An 18584-nucleotide genomic window follows, 5' to 3' on the forward strand; every position below is an offset into this window, starting at 1 on the left:
CGCCGCCGCCGCCGCCGCCGCCGCCGCTGCAGTGCGCAGGAGACCGCGGTCCGCGCCCGAGCGCGCCCGAGCCGGAGCGGGACCGGGGTCGGTGCACCTAGCGGATGTGCCCGGCTGCGCGCGCCAGCGCAGCAGCCCGAGCAGCGGCCGCCGCCCGCGCGGCGGGGATGCCCGGACGCCGGGCCCCGGGGCTGGGCCCCCGGCGGTAACCGGAGCGGGGGGGCCGCGCCCCCCCTCCTCCCCCCTCGCCGGTCCCAGAGCCGCAGCTGCTGCGCCCGCGCGCTCCCGGGGACATTCTAACCGCCGCCAGGTCCCGCCGCCTCTCGCCCCGCTATTAATACCGGCGGCCCGGGAGGGGGGCGCAGCACGCGCCGCGCAGCCATGGGGAGGCTGCTGGCCTTAGTGGTCGGCGCGGCACTGGGTGAGTGCGCGGGGGGCGCGCGCGGCCGGGGGGCACCGCGGGGGCACTGGCGGGGCGGCGGGAGTGGCGCTCGGGACACGGGGCAGCCGCGCGAGGGCCACCCCCGGCCCATCCCCGGGCCCCGCCAAGTCAGCTTCAGAAGTTGTGCGCGCGGGAGCCGGGCTTGGGGAGGGCAGTGGAGGTGAGGGTGGGCTCCAGCGGGTGGGGGCCGGGCTGGCACAGCCTGGCGGCTGCAGGCGCCCAGCCGGGGGCGAGGAAACGCGGAGTCAGCTGCTCCCGGAGCCCCGCAGGCTGCAATGTGACACCCACAGCCGCGGGAGGGGGGTGGGGGGAAGGCGGCGCCCGGAGACTGGGACGGGAAAGACGGAGGGACAGGGAGAGATGAAGACGGGAGGAAGGGGGCGAGAGACAGAGAAGGACTCGGAGCGCACCGGAGTGGTCCGCTGGGATGCTGGGGACATGGGGGTCAAGGGGGAGACGGAGACAGAGAGAGGGGTATTGGAGAGAGAGAGAGAGAGAGAGAGTTAAGAGACTGAGCGCGATGGAGAAAGGGAAACTTGAGAAAGGCAGAAGGAGATGGAGAGAAGAGAGAGGGAGATGCGGGTGCCCGTGAACACCGGGAGAGAATCTTGCATGGAGTTTGAAAAGGGATAGACGTAGAAAGGTGGAAAGAGATTAGGAGAGGTCTCCTTCTGAGCCCAGAGAGTGGACAAAAAGTGGAGGGACCTTCAGAGAGACCCCTGAGAGGGACAAAGATAGGAGGGACTGAGACAGAGGCCCTCAGGGAGTCTGAAAGGGACCGCAGGGGAGGCGGATGGATGAGAAGTCCTGAGGATCAGGAAACAAGGACAGCACAGGGCTGCAGCAGAAGAGACACAGCGTTAGCTACAGAGTGCTGGGAGGCAGAAAGGAGGTGCCAGGTAAGAGTGTGAAGGAATTCTAAGACTGGAATTCAGTGGGCTGCAAAAGCCCTGGGGCAGGAGAGAGCTCAGGAAAGCTTTGAGTAGTGGATGGGGTTGGGGTGGGAAGAGCTCTAGAGGCGAGGAGCCTGGGGAAGAGGGGATGATGGAGGCAGGAGAGGCCGGGGAGGGGATGGCTCACACAGGGGCTTGTGGGCTGTGGAGAGGGGCTGAGTGTGGGTCAGCCCCGGTTTCAGTGCCCACCTCCCCACAATCCCCCACCCCCAGACCTTTTCTCCCAACCCATTTCTCCTGGAGCTAGCTGGTTTTACAATTTAATGGTGAAAATGACTGCCACCTTAAACTTCTAACTTAGCTGGAATTCTCATTCTACCACCTAGATGCTTGGGTTCCTCCAGCAAGGGACTTTCTGAGGAAGGGGCACTCGGGTAGCATAAAGTCTGAGTTACCGGCAACGTTGACAGTCCCACTTATGGGGCCTCCCATGTACAAGGCCCTACCTAATGTATGAAAATGGGCCCAGCCATTGCTGGAAGCAAAGGACCATTTCTTTCAACAAGAGAGAGGGAAACTGAGACTCAGGGATGAATGACTTGCTGAGGTCACGCAGTGAGTGACAGGGCTCAGCCTAGCATCCAGTCCTGTCTGCTGGTAATCATTGAGGGGGGAACAGATGGTTTGTGAGGGGTCTGGCATTGCTTAGGGCAATGGGTGCCTCTGCCTGACCTGAGCCTGCTGTCCCCACAGTGTCCTCAGCCTGCGGGGGCTGCGTGGAGGTGGACTCGGAGACCGAGGCCGTGTATGGGATGACCTTCAAAATTCTTTGCATCTCCTGCAAGCGCCGCAGCGAGACCAACGCTGAGACCTTCACCGAGTGGACCTTCCGCCAGAAGGGCACTGAGGAGTTTGTCAAGGTGTGCGGGTGCCGGGAACGGGCATGGGAGGGCAGGGGTCCACGAGTGGGAGGCGGTGGGGCTGGATCTCAGGGAGGGGGCTTATTTGTTTAATAATATGCTGTGATTGCTGACCTGGATTCAGATTCTGGCTCCACCAGTGGCCAGCTGGTGACCTTGGCCAAGTCAGTGAGCCTCTCTGAAAGTCAGTTTCCTCCTCGGTAAAGACGGGGTGGCGGTGGTCTCTAGCCCATAGGTTTGTGTGAGGACTGAATGCATTGACGCACCTGGCACACGGTTGGCATGAAATAAATGTCAGTGGACTTATTTGGCACCAGCAAACAATGTCTCTGATAGTCATTACGGAGGGAAGACAGAACTGTTTTTTTTAACCTCCTTTAAACTATGTGTGTATTTTGCATTATATATCGGTGAGGGAACCATAAAATTCTGTGACGTGCTGGAGAGTTGGGGTCTCCAGCTGCTGGAATCAGGCTGCCCTGTCTCTGCTGGAGGAGTGTGTCTGGTGGCTGGGAAAGAACGGCAGAGAATGATAGCCTAGAGGCCAGATGGGGCTTGGGAGGATGACTGAGGAACGTGTGTGTGCTCGTGTGCATCTTGGCTAGAGGCAAAAGCGGGGTCTGGTTGACTCCAGGCGTGATCCTAGCCCCCCACCCCTGTGCCCTCCCTGCCTGAGGTCAAGGTGTCTGAGCCCATCTGTGTGCCATCTGTGTTTGTGGGTGTCAGGGCAGGGGACAGAATCAGGGTCAGGTAAGGGAAGAGAGGCCCAGGCAGTGACACCTTCCCCTCCCTGGCTACCCCTAGATCCTGCGCTATGAGAATGAGGTGTTGCAGCTGGAGGAGGATGAGCGCTTCGAGGGCCGCGTGGTGTGGAATGGCAGCCGGGGCACCAAAGACCTGCAGGATCTGTCTATCTTCATCACCAATGTCACCTACAACCACTCGGGCGACTACGAGTGCCACGTCTACCGCCTGCTCTTCTTCGAAAACTACGAGCACAACACCAGCGTCGTCAAGAAGATCCACATTGAGGTAGTGGACAAAGGTGAGTCGGGTGCTGCCTGCCCCTTTACCGTCACCCACCGGAGAGCCAGATGGAGGGACAGATGGCAGGCAGTGGACAGGACAGGCTGGCTCTGTGCCTGGCCAGCCAACCGCCCACAGCAGCGGGCTGAGGGGGAGGGGAGCAGCCCCTCCTGCCCACTCCAGCTCTGGCCTCTGTTTCTCTCCAGCCCACGGAGAGGTCAAAGCATGCCTGTCCCCCACAGACGCTCCGGGTACAGAACCCAGCTCTGTCACCTGTGCTGTATGACCTCTGGCAGGTGCCTTCTGTCTCTGAGCCAAAGGGTTGTCCTGGGCTTGCCCGGGATAATAATCCGATGTGTTTCTCGGGGTGTGGTTTGAGCCATTCTTCCATCATGGGGTTCATGAGGATTGAGCAGCTGCAGGCACACGCCTGGCTTCCAGCAGAGCCTTGCAGGTGGTGGCGAGGGTGGCGGTTCTTACTGTTCGAGTAGCTCAGCCCTGCTGCCCTCTGTGGTGATGAGGCAAGAGAGCGTGCCACCTAGAGCAGAGTTCCGCACACCCCTCTGCACTCCTGCCCCGGGGGAGCCGCGCTGGCCTGCAGTCTCACTCAACACCTCTGGGGCGGGCCTAGGGGTCCTTTCTAAAGCTCTCAGGTGAGGCAGTGAAGGGCCACAGGTGCGGGGCCCACCCTCTGAGCAGCAAGGGCCTACAGCGCTTTTGAACGTCTCATCATTTTGCCTCAGCCACCCTGGACCCCTTTTCTGAGGGAGGTCCGCCCCTTCTCTGATCCATCTTCTGCTCAGCATCAATTGCAATTGTCCAGCGCCCTGTGGCCACTGGCTTAGAGTTGGGGAAACAGCCCAGGCCTTGAAGCAGCTACAAGCCGTGGCAGAAAGGTCTCTCAGGGCCACGGCACACACATCCTCATGGGCAACACGCACTGCCCATCTTTTCTGTGAGATGGGTGCCGGCCTCAGTGCCTTACACGGAGTCCCTTAGTGAATCCTCTCCCCACCCTCTGGGGTAGGGGCTCTTCCTATCCCCATTTTACGGATGAGAAAACCAAGGCTCAGGGAGGGAAGGTTATGTGGCCAAGGTCATGTGATTGGGAGCTGGACTTGAATCCAGAGGAGCTTGGGTGACTGTGTTTCTGTTCTTGGCATGATTCACTGTACTCTGTGATCAGCCAGAGCCTGTGGGTTTCTTTTTATAATTAGCATTTTTACGTTTATTGTCAAATTGGTGTAGCAGAATGCAATTCAGCAGGCATGTCTGAGCCACTCTGGTGTTTGTCACGATGCTGGGGGGTGGGGGTCACCCGCAGACATGGATGATGGAGCCCCGCCTGCGGAGTTGCTGTGACAAAGATGCCTGCGGTACTGGGACTTTACAAAACCTGTGTTATTGCTCTTGCAAATCTGCAGAGGTGAGATGGGGAGAGGGTGGGAGGCTCCAGGGCACTGTTCAGCCACCCAGGTTCTTTCCATCTTGTTGTTTGGCAGTTGGCCAGGGTGTTGTGTCCTCTGTACGCCGTGACCCAATAGAGCCTCTTTTTTTTTTTTTTTAAATTTAGATTTTTATTTTTTGAGACGGAGTTTTGCTATTATTGCCCAGGCTGGAGTGCAATGGCGTGATCTCGGCCCACTGCAACCTCTGCCTCCCAGGTTCAAGTGATTCTCCTGCTTCAGCCTCCCGAGTAGCTGGGATTACAGGCATGTGCCACCAAGCCCAGCTAATTTTTGTATTTTTAGTAGATATGGAGTTTCCCCACATTGGCCAGGCTGGTCTCGAACTCCTGACCTTAGGTAATGATCCACCTGCCTTGGCCTCCCAAGGTGCTGGGATTACAGGTGTGAGCCACTGCGCCTGGCCTGAGCCTCTCTTTTTTAGGATTGCCCACTGTATGACACTACATCCCACAGCCTGTGCTATTACCAGCATTTACCATCATATGCAGTTCCTTATGTTGGCCCTGCAGAGTTTGTGTTTTCTGCACTATCCACCCAGTTCTAGTGTTTTTTACCCACCATATGTAGTATTGCCTTTTAAACATTACCCACTATATTATAGTATTTTATATTACCCACTATAGGATATTTTATATTACACAATATATTTTACTATCATAATATTGCCAAACACAACAGTTTTTTGTTTTTTGTTAAAGAGACCAAGTCTTGCTCTGTTGCCCAGGCTGGGATACTGTGGCGTGATCATAGCCCACTGCAGCCTCGAACTCCCGAAATCCAGCGATCCTTCTGCTTGAGCCTCCCACGTAGCTGGGACTACAGGTGTGAGCCACTACGCCCGGCAATTTTTTTTTTTTTTGTAGAGACTGGATCTTGCTATGTTGCCCAGGATGGTCTTGAACTCCTGGCCTCAAATAATCTTCCCTCCTTAGCCGCCGTAAGTGCCGAGATTACAGGAGAGAGCCTCCGCGCCTGGCCTACAGTATTTTTATTATAATCCATCATACTAGCGTATTTTTAACGTTCCCCACCATGGCGGGTATTTTTATTACCCACCATGCTATGCTATAGTATTTCAAAAATTAATCCTATTGTAGCATGTAAAAATATTCCATTCTATACCATACTATATTCATCATTACCTCTGATACTACAGTATTTTTAACATGACTCATTGTGCTATTGTATTTTTTCATTACCCACAATACCACAATATTACTGTATTTGTTAGCACTGCCTGCCATTCCTTATTATTATTATTTTTGCAATGGAGTCTCGCTCTGTCACCCAGGCAGGCTGGAGTGCAGCAGTACAATGTCGGCTCACTGCACCTCCCGGGCTCAAGCGATTCTTCTGCCTCAGCCTCCCAAGTAGGTGGGATTACAGGTGCACGCCACCATGCCCAACTAATTTTTGTACTTGTAGTACAGACGGGGTTTTACCATGTTGGCCAGGCTGGTCTCGAACTCCTGACCTCAGGTGATCCACCCACCTCAGCCTCCCAAAGTGCTGTGATTACAGGCGTAAGTTACCATGCCCAGCCTATTATTATTATTATTATTATTATTATTATTATTTCAAGTTAGAGTCTCACTCTGTCACCCAGGCTGGAGTGCAGTGGCACGATCTTGGCTCACTGCAGCCTCCATCCACCTCCCGGGTTCAAGCGATTCTCCTGCCTCAGCCTCCGAAGTAGCTGGGATTACAGGCACGCGCCACCACGCCCGGCTAATTCTTTTGTATTTTTAGTAGAGACAGGGTTTCGCTATGTAGACCAGGCTGGTCTCGCACTCCTGGCCTCCAGTGATTCACCCACCTTGGCCTCCCAGAGTGCTGGAATGACACGTATGAGCCACCACACTGACCTTTTTATTATTTTTATCCACCATCTCGCTGCAATTTCAGTATTGCCCATCGACCTATATTGCCTCCTGGTAATGACCCCTGAGGAATGAGCCATGCCATTTCCATAGGTGGAGGCGACGGGTCATGGTGGTGAGAACTTCACTGACCTGGAAGAGGTGGAGAAGATGCTGGGAAGCTGCTGAGGGCTGCCCACCTGTGTTAGGAGAAGGCAGATGGGGACCCATGGGGACAGTAATACTATTTTGGATCCACACAACGGGAGTGGAAAATGCCTTGAGGCACAGCAGCGTCTGAGGCGGGTGAGAAATCCGGCCTGCAGAGTCGCGGCTGGCCTTCAGATCTGCGGGCTGCCTGTGAGATGCCGTGTTACCTAAATCCATTTGGGCACTGAGTTCCAGGAGTGGGGGCAAGAATTCCGATGACGGGGCTTTATCCGGTGCGCATCCAGCTCAGAGTGGTTCCTGAGACCAGCCACCATGGGCAGCCAGGATGTGCTCATCCTTGAGGCTTTCCGAGGCATCAAGGAGATGGTTGGATAAAGAATTTAGCACAGAGCTTGACTGATGGCAGGCGCCCACAACATGAGACACATTAATAATGTGTGTGGAGGCCAGGTGTAGTGGTTCATGCCTGTCACCCCAGCACTTTGGGAGGCAGAGGTGGGAAGATTTCTTGAGGCCAGGAATTCAAGACCAGCCTGGGCAACACAGCGAGACCTCATCTCTACCAAAAAAAAAAAAAAAAAAGGAAAAAATTCACCTGGCCTAGTGGTGCACACTTGTAGTCTCCGCTACTCAGGAGGCTGAGGCAGGAGGATTGCTTGAGCTCAGGAGTTCCAGGCTGCAGTGGGCTATGATTGCATCACTGCACTCCAGTCTGGGCAATAGAGCAAGACCCTGTCTCTTAAAAAAATAAAGTCTGTTGAAAAGAATGAATGAAGGAAGGAAGGAATGAGAGGGAAACCCTGTCTCAGCTCCTCCCGCAGGGAAGCTGGGGCAGGGCAGGCAGGGGGGGCATCCGGCCCCGCTCCCTCCCTTACTCTGGCCCAGAAAGCACTGGTGCCATCTGCACAGGGTGGAGCCAAAGAAAGTGCCCCACTCACAGCAGAGGGAGGCCATTTGAGGACAGCAGGGAAAATGGGATCTCAGCCATCTAGGAGGGGGCCAGAGATGTGGGATGGACACCTAGGAAATCCAGCCGAGGACACCAGAGTGGCTTTTGACTCTGGTCCCCTGGCTGAACGCGTTCCCTTTACAGTTTAAATTTAGGCTCAAGGAGAAGAAGCTGGCAATCGGCAGGGCCAGTGCTGTAGAGAGGATGTAGGGTTTCCGGAAAATAGCCAACACTTCAGCAGTGCTGGCTGCGAGCTCATCCAAGCATGTTACGGGTGTTAACTCATTTCCTCTCCAGCAACCCTGTGAGAGGGTCTGAGTGTTCCCATCTCCATTTTACAGAGGCTCAGAGAGGTGCAGTCCTTTGCCTGAGGTCACACAGCTAGTAAGAGGCAGAGCCGGGATTTGAACCCTGGCAGTCTGGCCCTAGAGCCCCAGCTGTTAACCATTAGGCTTTATAGCCCCAGTTATAACAACAATAATAATACTAATACAAGTGAACCTTCACTGAGTGCCATTTATAGATCAAGCACTATTCTAAGGATTTTAAAGCATATTTAATTCTCACAGCACTCTGATGAAGGAGGTATTCATTTTACAATTGAAGAAACAGAGGCCTAGAGACATTGAGTCACTTGCGCAAGGTCACACAGCTGGCCAGTGGCAGAGCCAGCCTTTGAACCTGAGCCTTCTGGTTGCAGAGCTACGGCTTTTAGGCACCGTGCTGAGGGCCTCCAGAATGACACAGATGTGGCCTCGAGTTACACAGGGAGGCAGGTTGAGGGTGACCCCCACCAGGCCTACCCAAGGCTGGGTATTAATAATCACAGTGCATACACCAGGCCCAGGGAGGTTGAGCCACTCATCCAAGCTCACACAGCAAGCTCACAGCACACTCAGGCTGTCATGCAGCCTGGGCTACCCCCTTAACCCTGCCTGGCCCCTGCAGCCAACAGAGACATGGCATCCATCGTGTCTGAGATCATGATGTATGTGCTCATTGTGGTGTTGACCATATGGCTCGTGGCAGAGATGATTTACTGCTACAAGAAGATCGCTGCCGCCACGGAGACTGCTGCACAGGAGAATGCGTGAGTAGGGTGGCTGGGAGGTGGGAGGGCACCCAGGGCACCGTCACACTTGCCAGAGAGGAACTCCGGAGCCCGGGCAGGGAGGAGGCAGCGGAGCGGCCCAGGGCGCCATCTCTCAGTACTACCCAGAGGGGAGTGCTCCCTGTCAGACACAGGATAGGGGTCGTCAGACCCAGCCCCTTCCTCCCTCCAACTCAGGAGCCCAGGCTCCCAGCCAGATTCCTCAAAGACCCTGAGGAGTCCACCCATAGACTCCTTCTCTCTCTAACTAAGGAGCCCTGTGTACCTGGGGTGGAGACCGCTACCTTCCCCCATCCCCCGGGGGTTGGGTCGGTCTGATGATGGGGTCACTGTATACCTGGCCTTTCCCCCACAGCTCGGAATACCTGGCCATCACCTCTGAAAGCAAAGAGAACTGCACGGGCGTCCAGGTGGCCGAATAGCCCTGGTAAGGCGGATGGGCTGGCAGAGGGGAAGGGGATTGGGAGGGGCCGAAGTCCCCCAGGTCCCTAATTCCCCCTCTCTTGCTCCCCTTCAGGCCCTGGGCCCCGCCTCAAGGAAGAGCCAGCCGTAATGGGGACTCTCCAGGCACCGCCTGCCCCCAGCGTGGGGGTGGCCACTCCTGGGCCCCAGAAAGCCTCAGAGTCCTGCCGACGGAGCCACTGGGGTGGGAGGGGGCAGGGGGCTTGGCTCGCACCCCCACTTTCGCCTCCTCCAGCTCCTGCCCCGCCGGCCGCGCACCGCCATGCATGATGGGTAAAGCAATACTGCCGCTGCCCCCACCCTGCTTCTGCTGCCTGTTTGGGGAGGGGGGCGGTGAGGTGGGGGCAGCGGCCCCGCACCCCTCCTCCTTGCTGATTTGCACACATTGGCCGCTTCAGACACGCACTTCTGGGGCCAGCCCCTCCCCGCCTCCTCCCTGCCTGGCGGCAGGGGTCGCGATGATGGGCTGGAGCAGTTTGGGGCAGGGGGTTCTGGGACCCACTCCGACTCCCCCTCCCCGGCATCATTTCCCCTCCCGCTTCCTCCGGCTGGACCTGGGGTCCCCCCTCCCTGTAATGCACTCCTGCCCCGGCCCAACCTCGCCCTCTCTCACCAGCCTTGAACTGTGGCCACCTAGAAAGGGGCCCATTCAGCCTCGTCTCTTTACAGAAGTAGTTTTGTTCATGAAATAAAGACTCTTGGACTTGATGCATAGTTTCGATTGTGAGCCCCGTCACCTTCCCCCCATTCCCGTCCCCGAATCTTCGAGCCCGCTTTCCAGGGACCCTACCTGAGGGCCCACAGGTGAAGCCACTTAGTGCCTGATCTGTGTCGGGGTTGGGGGAGCCATGGGCTCAGGGGTGAGGGAGAGTGGAACGGAGCCAGGAAGGGAGGGGGTGCCGTGGAGGGAAGAGAATCGAGGCTGATGCTGGGGTGCAGGGGTGGCATGGGGTGTGTGGTGTGCCCAGCAGTGTGAGTCTCTGGAGAGGTGGGCGCTGGGGAGAAGGAGAGGGAAGGAGAGACGGGTATGGATGGAAAGGCAGAGGAAGCCAGGCTAAACCAGCGTGTCCCAATGAGGGGCCCTGGGCTGAGTGGAGGAAATGGGTGCGGTGGAGGTGGGTTTGGCTGGGCACAGCGGGCACGTGTGGGTAAGCGGGTGGGGCCGGTTGTGCGGGTGGCCTATCTGGGGCAAGCAGCCGAGGCCGACTGTGTCCGGCGTGTGGTTGAGCACGGGCAGGTGTCTGGCGGTGACCCTGCACGTCTGGTGTTTACCTGGCCCTGGGTCTGACGTGGGCCGCGCCTGGCTGCTGGCGGGACAGTGTGTTATCTGCCTGCGGACGCTTCCGGCCACTTGGCCTGGGCCTCTGCCCTTAGCGCTGTGTTTTCCCGGCCAAGCCCCCCATCCCCCCTATCTAGTGCTAGGACTTTCTGGCTCCAGAGGTCACCGCGGCCGGGCGGAGGCTGCCAAAGCAAACCAGCCCCGTGACTTGTAGGAAGCCAGCGGGGGAGGGGCCGGGGCAGGATGAGCAGGGCAGGCGGGAGAGGCTGGGGCTGGGGTTGGGGCCCAGGAATTGGGCAGGGAATTAGGCAGAGGTGCAGCAAGTGGCGGGCACAGCCAGGACCTGGGGCTGGAGGACGCAGAAAGGGCGGGGGGAAGGGTTCGCTGGGTGAGGGTGGAGTGGGCTTAGGGCAGCTGGGGCCCTCCATCTGATCTCTTCTGGTCAGACCCCCACCCTTCAGCCTGCACTTTCTCCCTAAACCCCCAGCCTCCGGCCAGGCCTGTCCCTGTTCCCACATCCCCGCAGACAGGCACACCTGGGTCCCCCTGGAGGTCCAAGGCAAGCCCCGTAGCTGGGCCCGCCTGGTCCAGCCCCCACAAGCCCGGCCCCATCAGCCAGGTGGCCTCCAGTGCTGCCAATCGAATGGTCCGGCCCCTCCCCGCCCCTTCACCCGCCCCTCGCCCAGCCCCCTCCTCCTCAGGTGAGGCAGCCTGGCCTAGCAGGCCCCACGCCACCGCCTCTGCCTCCAGGCCGCCCGCTGCTGCGGGGCCACCATGCTCCTGCCCAGGCCTGGAGACTGACCCGACCCCGGCACTACCTCGAGGCTCCGCCCCCACCTGCTGGACCCCAGGGTAAGGACAAGGGCCCCCAGACTCACAGTTCCAGCCCTGAGGACAGGGGTTCCCTCATCCCCCCACCCAGCCTAATGCCCACCTCCTAATAGAGGGGTTCCTGGGGACCTGAAGAGGGGGCACTATGACGTCCCCCCAAGCACCTAGGTGTTCTGTCCTGCTCTTCCTTCAGACTCAGCCGTTGGACCCCAGTCCTTTCCTCCCCAGACCCAGGAGTTCCAGCCCTCAGGCCCCTCCTCCCTCATACTAGGGAGTCCTGGCCCCCAAATTCCTCCTTTCCCAAGACTTATGATTTCAGGTCCTCAGCTGTCTCCTCCCTCAAACCGGGATCCTCAGTCCCCTGCTCCACCAGGCTCAGGCATGGGGGTCCCCATCCCTGCAAATCCAGGCGTCCCCCCGCTGCTGGTCAGACACTGACCCCATCCTTGAACCCAGCCCAATCTGCGTCCGTGATCACGGCGTGCTCTGGCCAAGGCCCAGTCCCTACAGCCTGCCTGGATGGACGCCTGGGACTGGGGGCGCCAGGACTGGGCTGGGCTGGGCTCCCCCAGGCCCTGCCTCCCCGTCCATCTCCTCACAGGTCCCACCCTGGCCCAGGAGGTCAGCCAGGGAATCATTAACAAGAGGCAGTGACATGGCGCAGAAGGAGGGTGAGTCCCCTTCCCTGAGCCCCAGCTTTGGCTCTGCCTGGCGCCCCGCCCTCTGTGCTCTTTTCTCTACCCTCTACTCTTCGGAGCCCCCTCTCTCTGGGCACCCCTCCCAGATGCATCCCCACCCCTGTTAGTCCTCCTCCACCTGATTAACTATTAACCACATTTTCTGTGCAGCTGTGCCACCACCAGCCTCCCTTCTACCCTATGTGACCTTCCTGGCGTGCTGCCTCAGTTTCCCCTCATCCCCCAGTGATTTCTCAGCTAACTCTGGACTTGTCCTCTGCTGGGGCTGAGGCGGGGAAGCTGTAGCTGTCATGGTTAAGGACACAGATTTGGAGTGAAACACACAGGCTTGCATTTGAATTTGCTCTTGCCATCTTTTTTGCTGTGTGATCTGGTGCAAGTGACATTATTCTTAGGGCTTTGGTCTCCCTCTGGGTCAAGCATGGATACCAGTCCTCCCTCTGTGAGGTTGCTGAGTGCATGACACACACCAGGCACTGGTCTGGGGCTCTGCATATAAGACGCATGCCATCAAGCAGAGCTGTCATGACAGAGGTTGGCAAACTCGGAGTCCCAGAGACCCAGGACCCCCACCGATCCCAGACATTCCTCCACCTCCTGGCTCTGTGGGCAAAAGAGCAGAGGGAGGACTTTGGACTGGGCCTGGATGGATGGAGAGGGGAGAGACGGCAGAGAAACCACCATAAGGATGAGAGAGAGAGACTGCGTCATGGAGTTGCTGGCCCTTGGGAGTCTCTGGGCAGCCCCCAGCTAGCCTGGCTTCCTTTCTACCTCTCACACATGGGACCCAGCTGGAGGGGCGCATGGAGGGGCGTCCTGTTCTTTCTGCCTTCCCCTAGCTGGGGCTGACTCCCTCTCTTCTTCCGCAACCAGGATAGCCGGGCTCAGTCCTGGGCAGTAGCACTTTCTAGCTGTGTGGCCCTGGGCAGACGGCGTGTTCTCCCTGGGCCTCCATTCTCTCATCTGTGAAATGGAGAGGGTGACAGTGCATGTCCAACAGCGTGGGGCGAGGCCTGAAATGCCAGGATGGGCAGGAAGCACTGAGCGTGTTGGCTGAAATGATTAGTTCAGATCTCTGGCCTCCTCGGGTCTCGGCACAGCTGGCAATTCAGACCCCAAACCAATCAGCTGCAGTCCAGAGGGAACCCAGGCTCCCAGTTACTCAGGAGAAGGCATTGCACCCTAGCCGAGCAGGTGGATGACAGAATCCAGCTCCTTGGGGACAATCTCTTTCCTGGAGCTGCCGGAAGGACAGCCCCAGGGCTTGGGCCCATGGGTGAATGAGCCAGGGAAGAAAAGCAGAAAATGCCCGAATGGACAGAGATGGCCTGGGTACAAAGAGAAACAGACACAAAGTGGGCTCTGGTGCCTCCCTGGCAGCTCCGGGCTGGTCTTGGAGGGGAGTCCTGCTGTCAGGGCTAGGGGTGTGGAGGTCGAACCTGGACACAGATGCTGAAGGGTTCCGATTCTGCACTTACTTGCCGGGTGACCCGGGTTTGGTGGCTGCCGGACTTTGGGCCTCCTTTTCTCATCTGTAAACTGGGGGTGATGGCAATGGCGCCTTCCTCGTGAACAGCTGCAAGGATTTAAGTAAGGATGCTGTGCAGGACTGGACGGGGTTAGGGTAGGGCGGTGCGTCCGTGTGTGATTCAGAGAGCCGTTGTGGCTGCAGCGGCTGCTGTTGTTGGTGTCACTGTTATTGCTGCTGGCTTCTTGGTGCTGCCTGGAAACTTGGAATTGGAGGAGGTGATACTGGAGTTGCAATTCCAAGGATGCCAGGCAGAGGGAAGAGCAAGGCTCTTGCTCTTCTCTGGGAAGCTGGGAGGTGACACAGCACTGGTGTGCACGTAGCCAATTGTGGTATTTCTGGAGGTGAAGCTGGAAGTTGAGCTGGGTGGGAGAAGAGGTGTGCAAGCTGGACCAGGCAGGGGTGGGACTGTTTTGGGGAAGAGCTGGCCAATTCCTTGCAGTACCAGGTCTCTCCACAAGGTGGCGCCAGTGGTTAGTCCCTGCTTCTCTTGTCTAACTTGTATTTTACAAGTTCTACTGTTTGGGTTGCTTTTTGGAAGCTCTCTCTGGTACCTGATAGTGACCCACATGGTTGTCTGAGAATTGGGGGAAACATACTCCCAAATCTCTGAAAGCCATGCTTATACCCTAGTGGGGCTGGAAATGCCAGGCTGAGGGACTTAAGCTGTCTGGGGGGTACTAGGGAGTCACAGAGGGTTCTATAGGTAAAGAGGGGACAGGTTGGATTTGGTGTCTCAGTAGGTTCCCCAAGCCTCCGTGTGGAGGGTGCGCTAGAAGGGAGACTGAGCCCAGCGGTTGGATGGGGCCGGAGCAAGGTGCAGATGGAGAGAAAGAAGGAAACGGGGGAAGGAGAGTCACTCAGGAGGATTGGCAGGCTGTCGGGGGAGGGGAATGTTATGCAGATGGGGATGGTCCTAGGAGTGAGGGCCTCTGAGACAGGACCGGGAGGAAGAATATACTTGGGGAGACATTGGGGAGACATTCTGGGACCTGGTAGGGGCAAAGGGACTAGGAGGTCCCAGGGAAAGGTATTTAAAAGGTATTTAAAGGACTGCAGGAGCCCTGACCTGGGACCTGGAAGAGGGTCTAGGGCTGGGGACAGAGGGGAAACTGAGTCCACAGAGGTGGGTGAGACAGACTTAGGGGCAAGGAGGAGCAGGGGGAGGCTGCGGCCAGCCCTACAAACTCTGGATTTTACGGAGTAGGTAGAGGGTGGGTGAAGACAGCAGCCTCAGAGGCGGGAAGGAAAATCAGGTGCGCCTGGTGTCCCAGAAGTCCAAAGAGGAGAGCATTTATACAGGAAGCTGCAGTCATGTAAGATGAGGCCCGAGACACGGAGCCACCAGTTGAGTGGATTTTCAGAGCCAGAGAGCCAAAGGTGTTACGCGTGGGGGTCTTTGCAGCCAAATGGTGGAGGCGGAAGAACTGACCTATGAGAAGACCCAAGGCATCCAGAGGGGCCTGGAGAAGCAGGGGCAGAGAGTCTCAGGGAGATGTAGGGGTGGGGGAGGTCTGGCTTACCAAGGGAAATAGCCCTGCTGCTGGGATCAAAGAATTGATGTTGACGTGCCGCCTGTCCCAGTAGAGACACGCAGGGAGGATGAGGATGCGTCCCACACCCTGGGCCAGATGAGGATGCTGCCTGTCCCAGTAGAGACACGCAGGGAGGATGAGGATGCGTCCCACACCGTGGGCCAGATGAGGATGCTGCCTGTCCCAGTAGAGACATGCAGGGAGGATGCCTCTCATACTGGGGGAACCCCAGGATGCAGATGCTTCCTGTCCCACTGGAGGCGCTGAAGTCCTCTGAACCACACAGCATGGAAGGAGGTTCTTCCTCTCACCCTAGGAGACACATACATAGTGGCATTGCTTCCTGTCCCACCAGATGTGCCAAGGCCTCTAGGCTGCATTCTGCATGGCCTAGAGCCCTGGCAGGCACAGCTGAAAACAAAGCAAGCAAGACCAGCCCAGTGGCTGTCGGGAGCCAAGACCTCCTGCTGGAACCTGGAGAGTGGTCCTGGGCAGAGTTGGGGGGCAGGCCTGAGAACCCCTCGCAGGACAGGCAGGGGTCAGCCGGCAGTAGTTGGGCTGGTCTGGCCCACTGGGGCCTCTTTTGGGGAAGAGAGTGTTTCCTCATGCCTTGATGGGAGCCACTGAGCTTTCAATTTTTTTTTTTTTTTAATACAGAGTCTCGCTCTGTTGCCCAGGCTAGAGTACAGTGGCGCAATCTTGATTCACTGCAACCTCCACCTCCCGGGTTCAAGCGATTCTCCTGCCTCAGCTTCCCGAGTAGCTGGGACTATAGGCGCCCGCCACCACACCCAGCTAATTTTTGTATTTTTAGTAGAGGCGGGGTTTCACCATGTTGGCCAGGCTGGTCTTGAGCTCCTGACCTCAAGTGATCCACCTGCCTCAGCCTCCCAAAGGACCGGGATTACAGGCATGAGCCACCATGCCCAGCCTGAGCTCTCAAATTCTTAAGACACCCAGATAATGGCCACACCAGGAAGGTCCTAGACCACTCCCTGCTCTGTTCCAGGTGCTGGCCTGGTGCCGGGTTCACCAGCCACATCACCATGGGTGCAGATGGGCGAGCTGGGAGCTCCTGCCACCTTGGGGTGCTTTGCGGCTGCCAAGGGCAGTTGAACCCAAGCCAGGCCCAGCTGAAGGCTTTCAGCAGCCTTTACTCTTTGGCCTTCTTATAATCCCTAGTGAAGGGGTTGGCTTTTATTTATTTATGTATTTATTTATTTATTTATTTTTTGAGACAGAGTCTCGCTCTGTCGCCCAAGCTGAAGTGCAGTGGCGCGATCTCGGCTCACTGCAAGCTCTGCCTCCCGGGTTCAAGCCATTCTCCTGCCTCAGCCTCCCGAGTAGCTGGGATTACAGGTGCCTGCCACTGCGCCCGGCTAATTTTTTGTATTCTTAGTAGAGACGGGGTTTCACCGTGTTAGCCAGGATGGTCTCGATCTCCTGACCTCGTGATCTGCCCACCTCGGCCTCCCAAAGTGCTGGGATTACAGGCGTGAGCCACCGAGCCCGGCTAGGAGTTGGCTTTTAATCTCCAGGACCTCTTTGCCCTGGGAATAAAATCCCTTTTCCTGTGCCACCAGGCCTCCCCAGCTGGCCCCAGCCTTGGTTCCCACTACCTTCCCCAAGCTCTGGCCATCTGGCCATCTCGATGGCCTCTCCAGCCTCTGACATAAGAGAGCCTGCTTATTCTTGCCTCAAGGCCTTTGCCTGTGCTGTTCCCTCTGCCCACAGTGCCCTTCCTTGTGGTCTGTGTGTGGCTGGCACCTCACCTTTCAGAGCTTAGCTCAGAAGTCTCCTCTAGGGGAGGCCCTGTGATCCCTGATCCCCTGCAGAAGCCCACCTGCTGCCCCAGCCTGCACGGTTTTCTTCACAGCCTCTGCCACAATCTGGAAATTATTGGGTTCATTTACTTGTTTCCTTGTTAATGTCTCCCACTCCCCACCTACACGCATGAGAACGTGAACCCCTGAGAGTCGTAACCTTATCTGTCTTCTTTGGGTTATGTTCCCGGAACCTAGAAAGGTGCCAGGCACACAGCGGATGTTCAGTAGGATGGTAAACAAATAAAGCTTCTTTAGGCTGATGAAAAAACTGAGGGTCAGGCGCGGTGGCTCACGCCTGCAATTCCAACACTTTGTTTGGGAGGCTGAGACAAGCAGATAACTTGAGTCTGGGAGTTCACGACCAGCCTGGTCAACATGGCAAACCCCGTCAATACAAAAAATACAAAAATTAGCCATGTGTGGTGGTGTGCGCCTATAATCCCAGCTACTCGGGAGGCTCAGAATTACCTGAGCCTGAGCGCTTGAGACTGCAGTGTGCCATGATCGCGCCGCTGCACTCCAGCCTGGGCAGCACAGTGAAACCCTGTCTCAAAAAAAAAAAAAAGAAAAAGAAAGAGAGAGAGAGAGAAAAAGAAAGAAAGAAAGAAAGAAAGAAAGAAAGAAAGAAAGAAAGAAAGAAAGAAAAGGAAGGAAGGAAGGAAAAGAAAAAAACTGAGGCTGAGGCTCAGAGAGGGGAGGGGAGTTGCTCAGGCCCACACATCTCTGATGATTTATAAAGCATTTATAGAGAACTTGCTATGTGCCAGGCACTTCCGCACAGTGAGAGCCAGGATGGCTTCGTGGCTGTACACAGGGGACCTGGCATCAAACCTGCCCAGGGTTCTGGACGCTGCTCTGCCTCTTCCAGGCTGTCACTGTGGGCACGTGACCCCACTTCTCTGAGCTATCTCAAAAACAGGAATCATAGTTGTGGGATTGAAATAAGGACTAAATGAGCTGATGTATTTAGAACGGTGCTTAGCACCTGGAGGCATCAATACAATTTGAGCTATTCTTCTTCTTCTTGAAAATAACTTTAAATTATTATTTTTAGAAGTAGGTGCTCAGTGGATGCCCATTTAATAGATAAGAAAGTTGAGGCTCAAAGATATGATGGCACCTGCCTTAGGTTCCAGCTAGGAAGGGGTAGGGTCAATATTTTTAAATGAGGCTGGCCAGACGCAGTGGCTCACTCCTGTAATCTCAGCATTTTGGGAGGCTGAGGAAGGAAGATCGCTTCAGCCCAGGAGTTTGAGACCAGCCTGGGCAACATAGCAAGACCACGTCGCTAAAAAAATTAATACATAAAATAAAATGAGGCTGGCAGATTTTCAAGTGGAGGGGCAAATTTGATCTTGCAACTGGGTACCATGAGAGAGGTCTGATTTAGGGGGTATCTAGGGGCAAAGCATCTAGAACAGCAGAAACGACTGAGGCAGCGAGGAAATGCCAGCGGCAGGGAAGAGAGCTACCAAGAGGGCAAAGGTTGGGGGTCACAGTCCCAAGAAGAGATGGCCCAAAGCAAAGACAGAAATACAAAAGCACAGTGTCACTGGGGAGGAGACATTCCCTAAGTGCCAGGAAA

General features: G+C 56.7%; 2 protein-coding genes across 9 annotated transcripts in view, besides 3 other annotated features; both read left to right on the forward strand.

Moving 5' to 3' along the window:
• Positions 1-160: a silencer, noted in NCBI's record as "silent region_10514". NCBI's record gives its function as "represses an Ori minimal core promoter by ATAC-STARR-seq in GM12878 lymphoblastoid cells {active_cell/tissue: GM12878}" and the evidence as "EXISTENCE:reporter gene assay evidence [ECO:0000049][PMID:35858748]".
• Positions 31-10010, forward strand: SCN1B (sodium voltage-gated channel beta subunit 1). Of its 3 annotated transcripts, none has more exons than NM_001037.5 (6): positions 31-421; positions 2089-2255; positions 3060-3300; positions 8678-8819; positions 9196-9267; positions 9358-10010. In NM_001037.5, exons 1-5 carry the CDS (start codon positions 382-384, stop codon positions 9260-9262), a joined length of 657 nt encoding a protein of 218 aa, NP_001028.1. In that variant the 5' UTR covers positions 31-381; the 3' UTR covers positions 9263-9267; positions 9358-10010. The 3 variants fall into 3 exon arrangements, with proteins under 3 accessions (NP_001028.1, NP_950238.1, NP_001308534.1); NM_001321605.2 differs by lacking the exon at positions 31-421 and adding an exon at positions 832-1341; NM_199037.5 differs by lacking the exons at positions 8678-8819; positions 9196-9267; positions 9358-10010 and having other exon boundaries at positions 3060-7281.
• Positions 500-608: a silencer, noted in NCBI's record as "fragment chr19:35521843-35521951 (GRCh37/hg19 assembly coordinates)". NCBI's record gives its function as "represses an EF-1alpha promoter that drives an FKBP-Casp9 reporter gene in an ReSE screen in HepG2 liver carcinoma cells {active_cell/tissue: HepG2}" and the evidence as "EXISTENCE:reporter gene assay evidence [ECO:0000049][PMID:32094911]".
• Positions 9914-10753: an enhancer, noted in NCBI's record as "H3K27ac-H3K4me1 hESC enhancer chr19:35531257-35532096 (GRCh37/hg19 assembly coordinates)". NCBI's record gives its function as "activates a minimal SCP1, AML or CMV promoter by ChIP-STARR-seq in naive H9 embryonic stem cells {active_cell/tissue: H9 hESC(naive)}" and the evidence as "EXISTENCE:reporter gene assay evidence [ECO:0000049][PMID:30033119]".
• HPN (hepsin) overlaps positions 10067-18584 on the forward strand; it is a 26068-nt gene continuing 17550 nt past the window's right edge. Inside the window, exons 1-3 of one of the 6 annotated variants that reach the window (NM_002151.5) lie at positions 10067-10106; positions 11283-11433; positions 12014-12083. In NM_002151.5, the coding sequence (NP_002142.1) occupies positions 12068-12083 (16 nt within the window). In that variant the 5' untranslated portion in view covers positions 10067-10106; positions 11283-11433; positions 12014-12067. Of the gene's footprint in view, positions 10107-11281; positions 12084-18584 lie in introns of those variants that run through there. The other 5 variants (NM_182983.5, XM_017026731.2, NM_001375441.3 and 2 more) reach the window with 5 other exon arrangements.

The sequence above is a fragment of the Homo sapiens genome, chromosome 19 (genome assembly GCF_000001405.40).
Source record: "Homo sapiens chromosome 19, GRCh38.p14 Primary Assembly".
Lineage (NCBI taxonomy): Eukaryota > Metazoa > Chordata > Mammalia > Primates > Hominidae > Homo > Homo sapiens.

Excerpts from the sequence above, each read along its gene's own strand:
- SCN1B (NM_199037.5), top strand. The coding sequence starts at position 382 with ATGGGGAGGCTGCTGGCCTTAGTGGTCGGCGCGGCACTGG. Across the intron at positions 422-2,088 it reads AGTGGTCGGCGCGGCACTGG|TGTCCTCAGCCTGCGGGGGC; the intron begins GTGAGTGCGCGG and ends CTGTCCCCACAG. Across the intron at positions 2,256-3,059 it reads GCACTGAGGAGTTTGTCAAG|ATCCTGCGCTATGAGAATGA; the intron begins GTGTGCGGGTGC and ends GGCTACCCCTAG.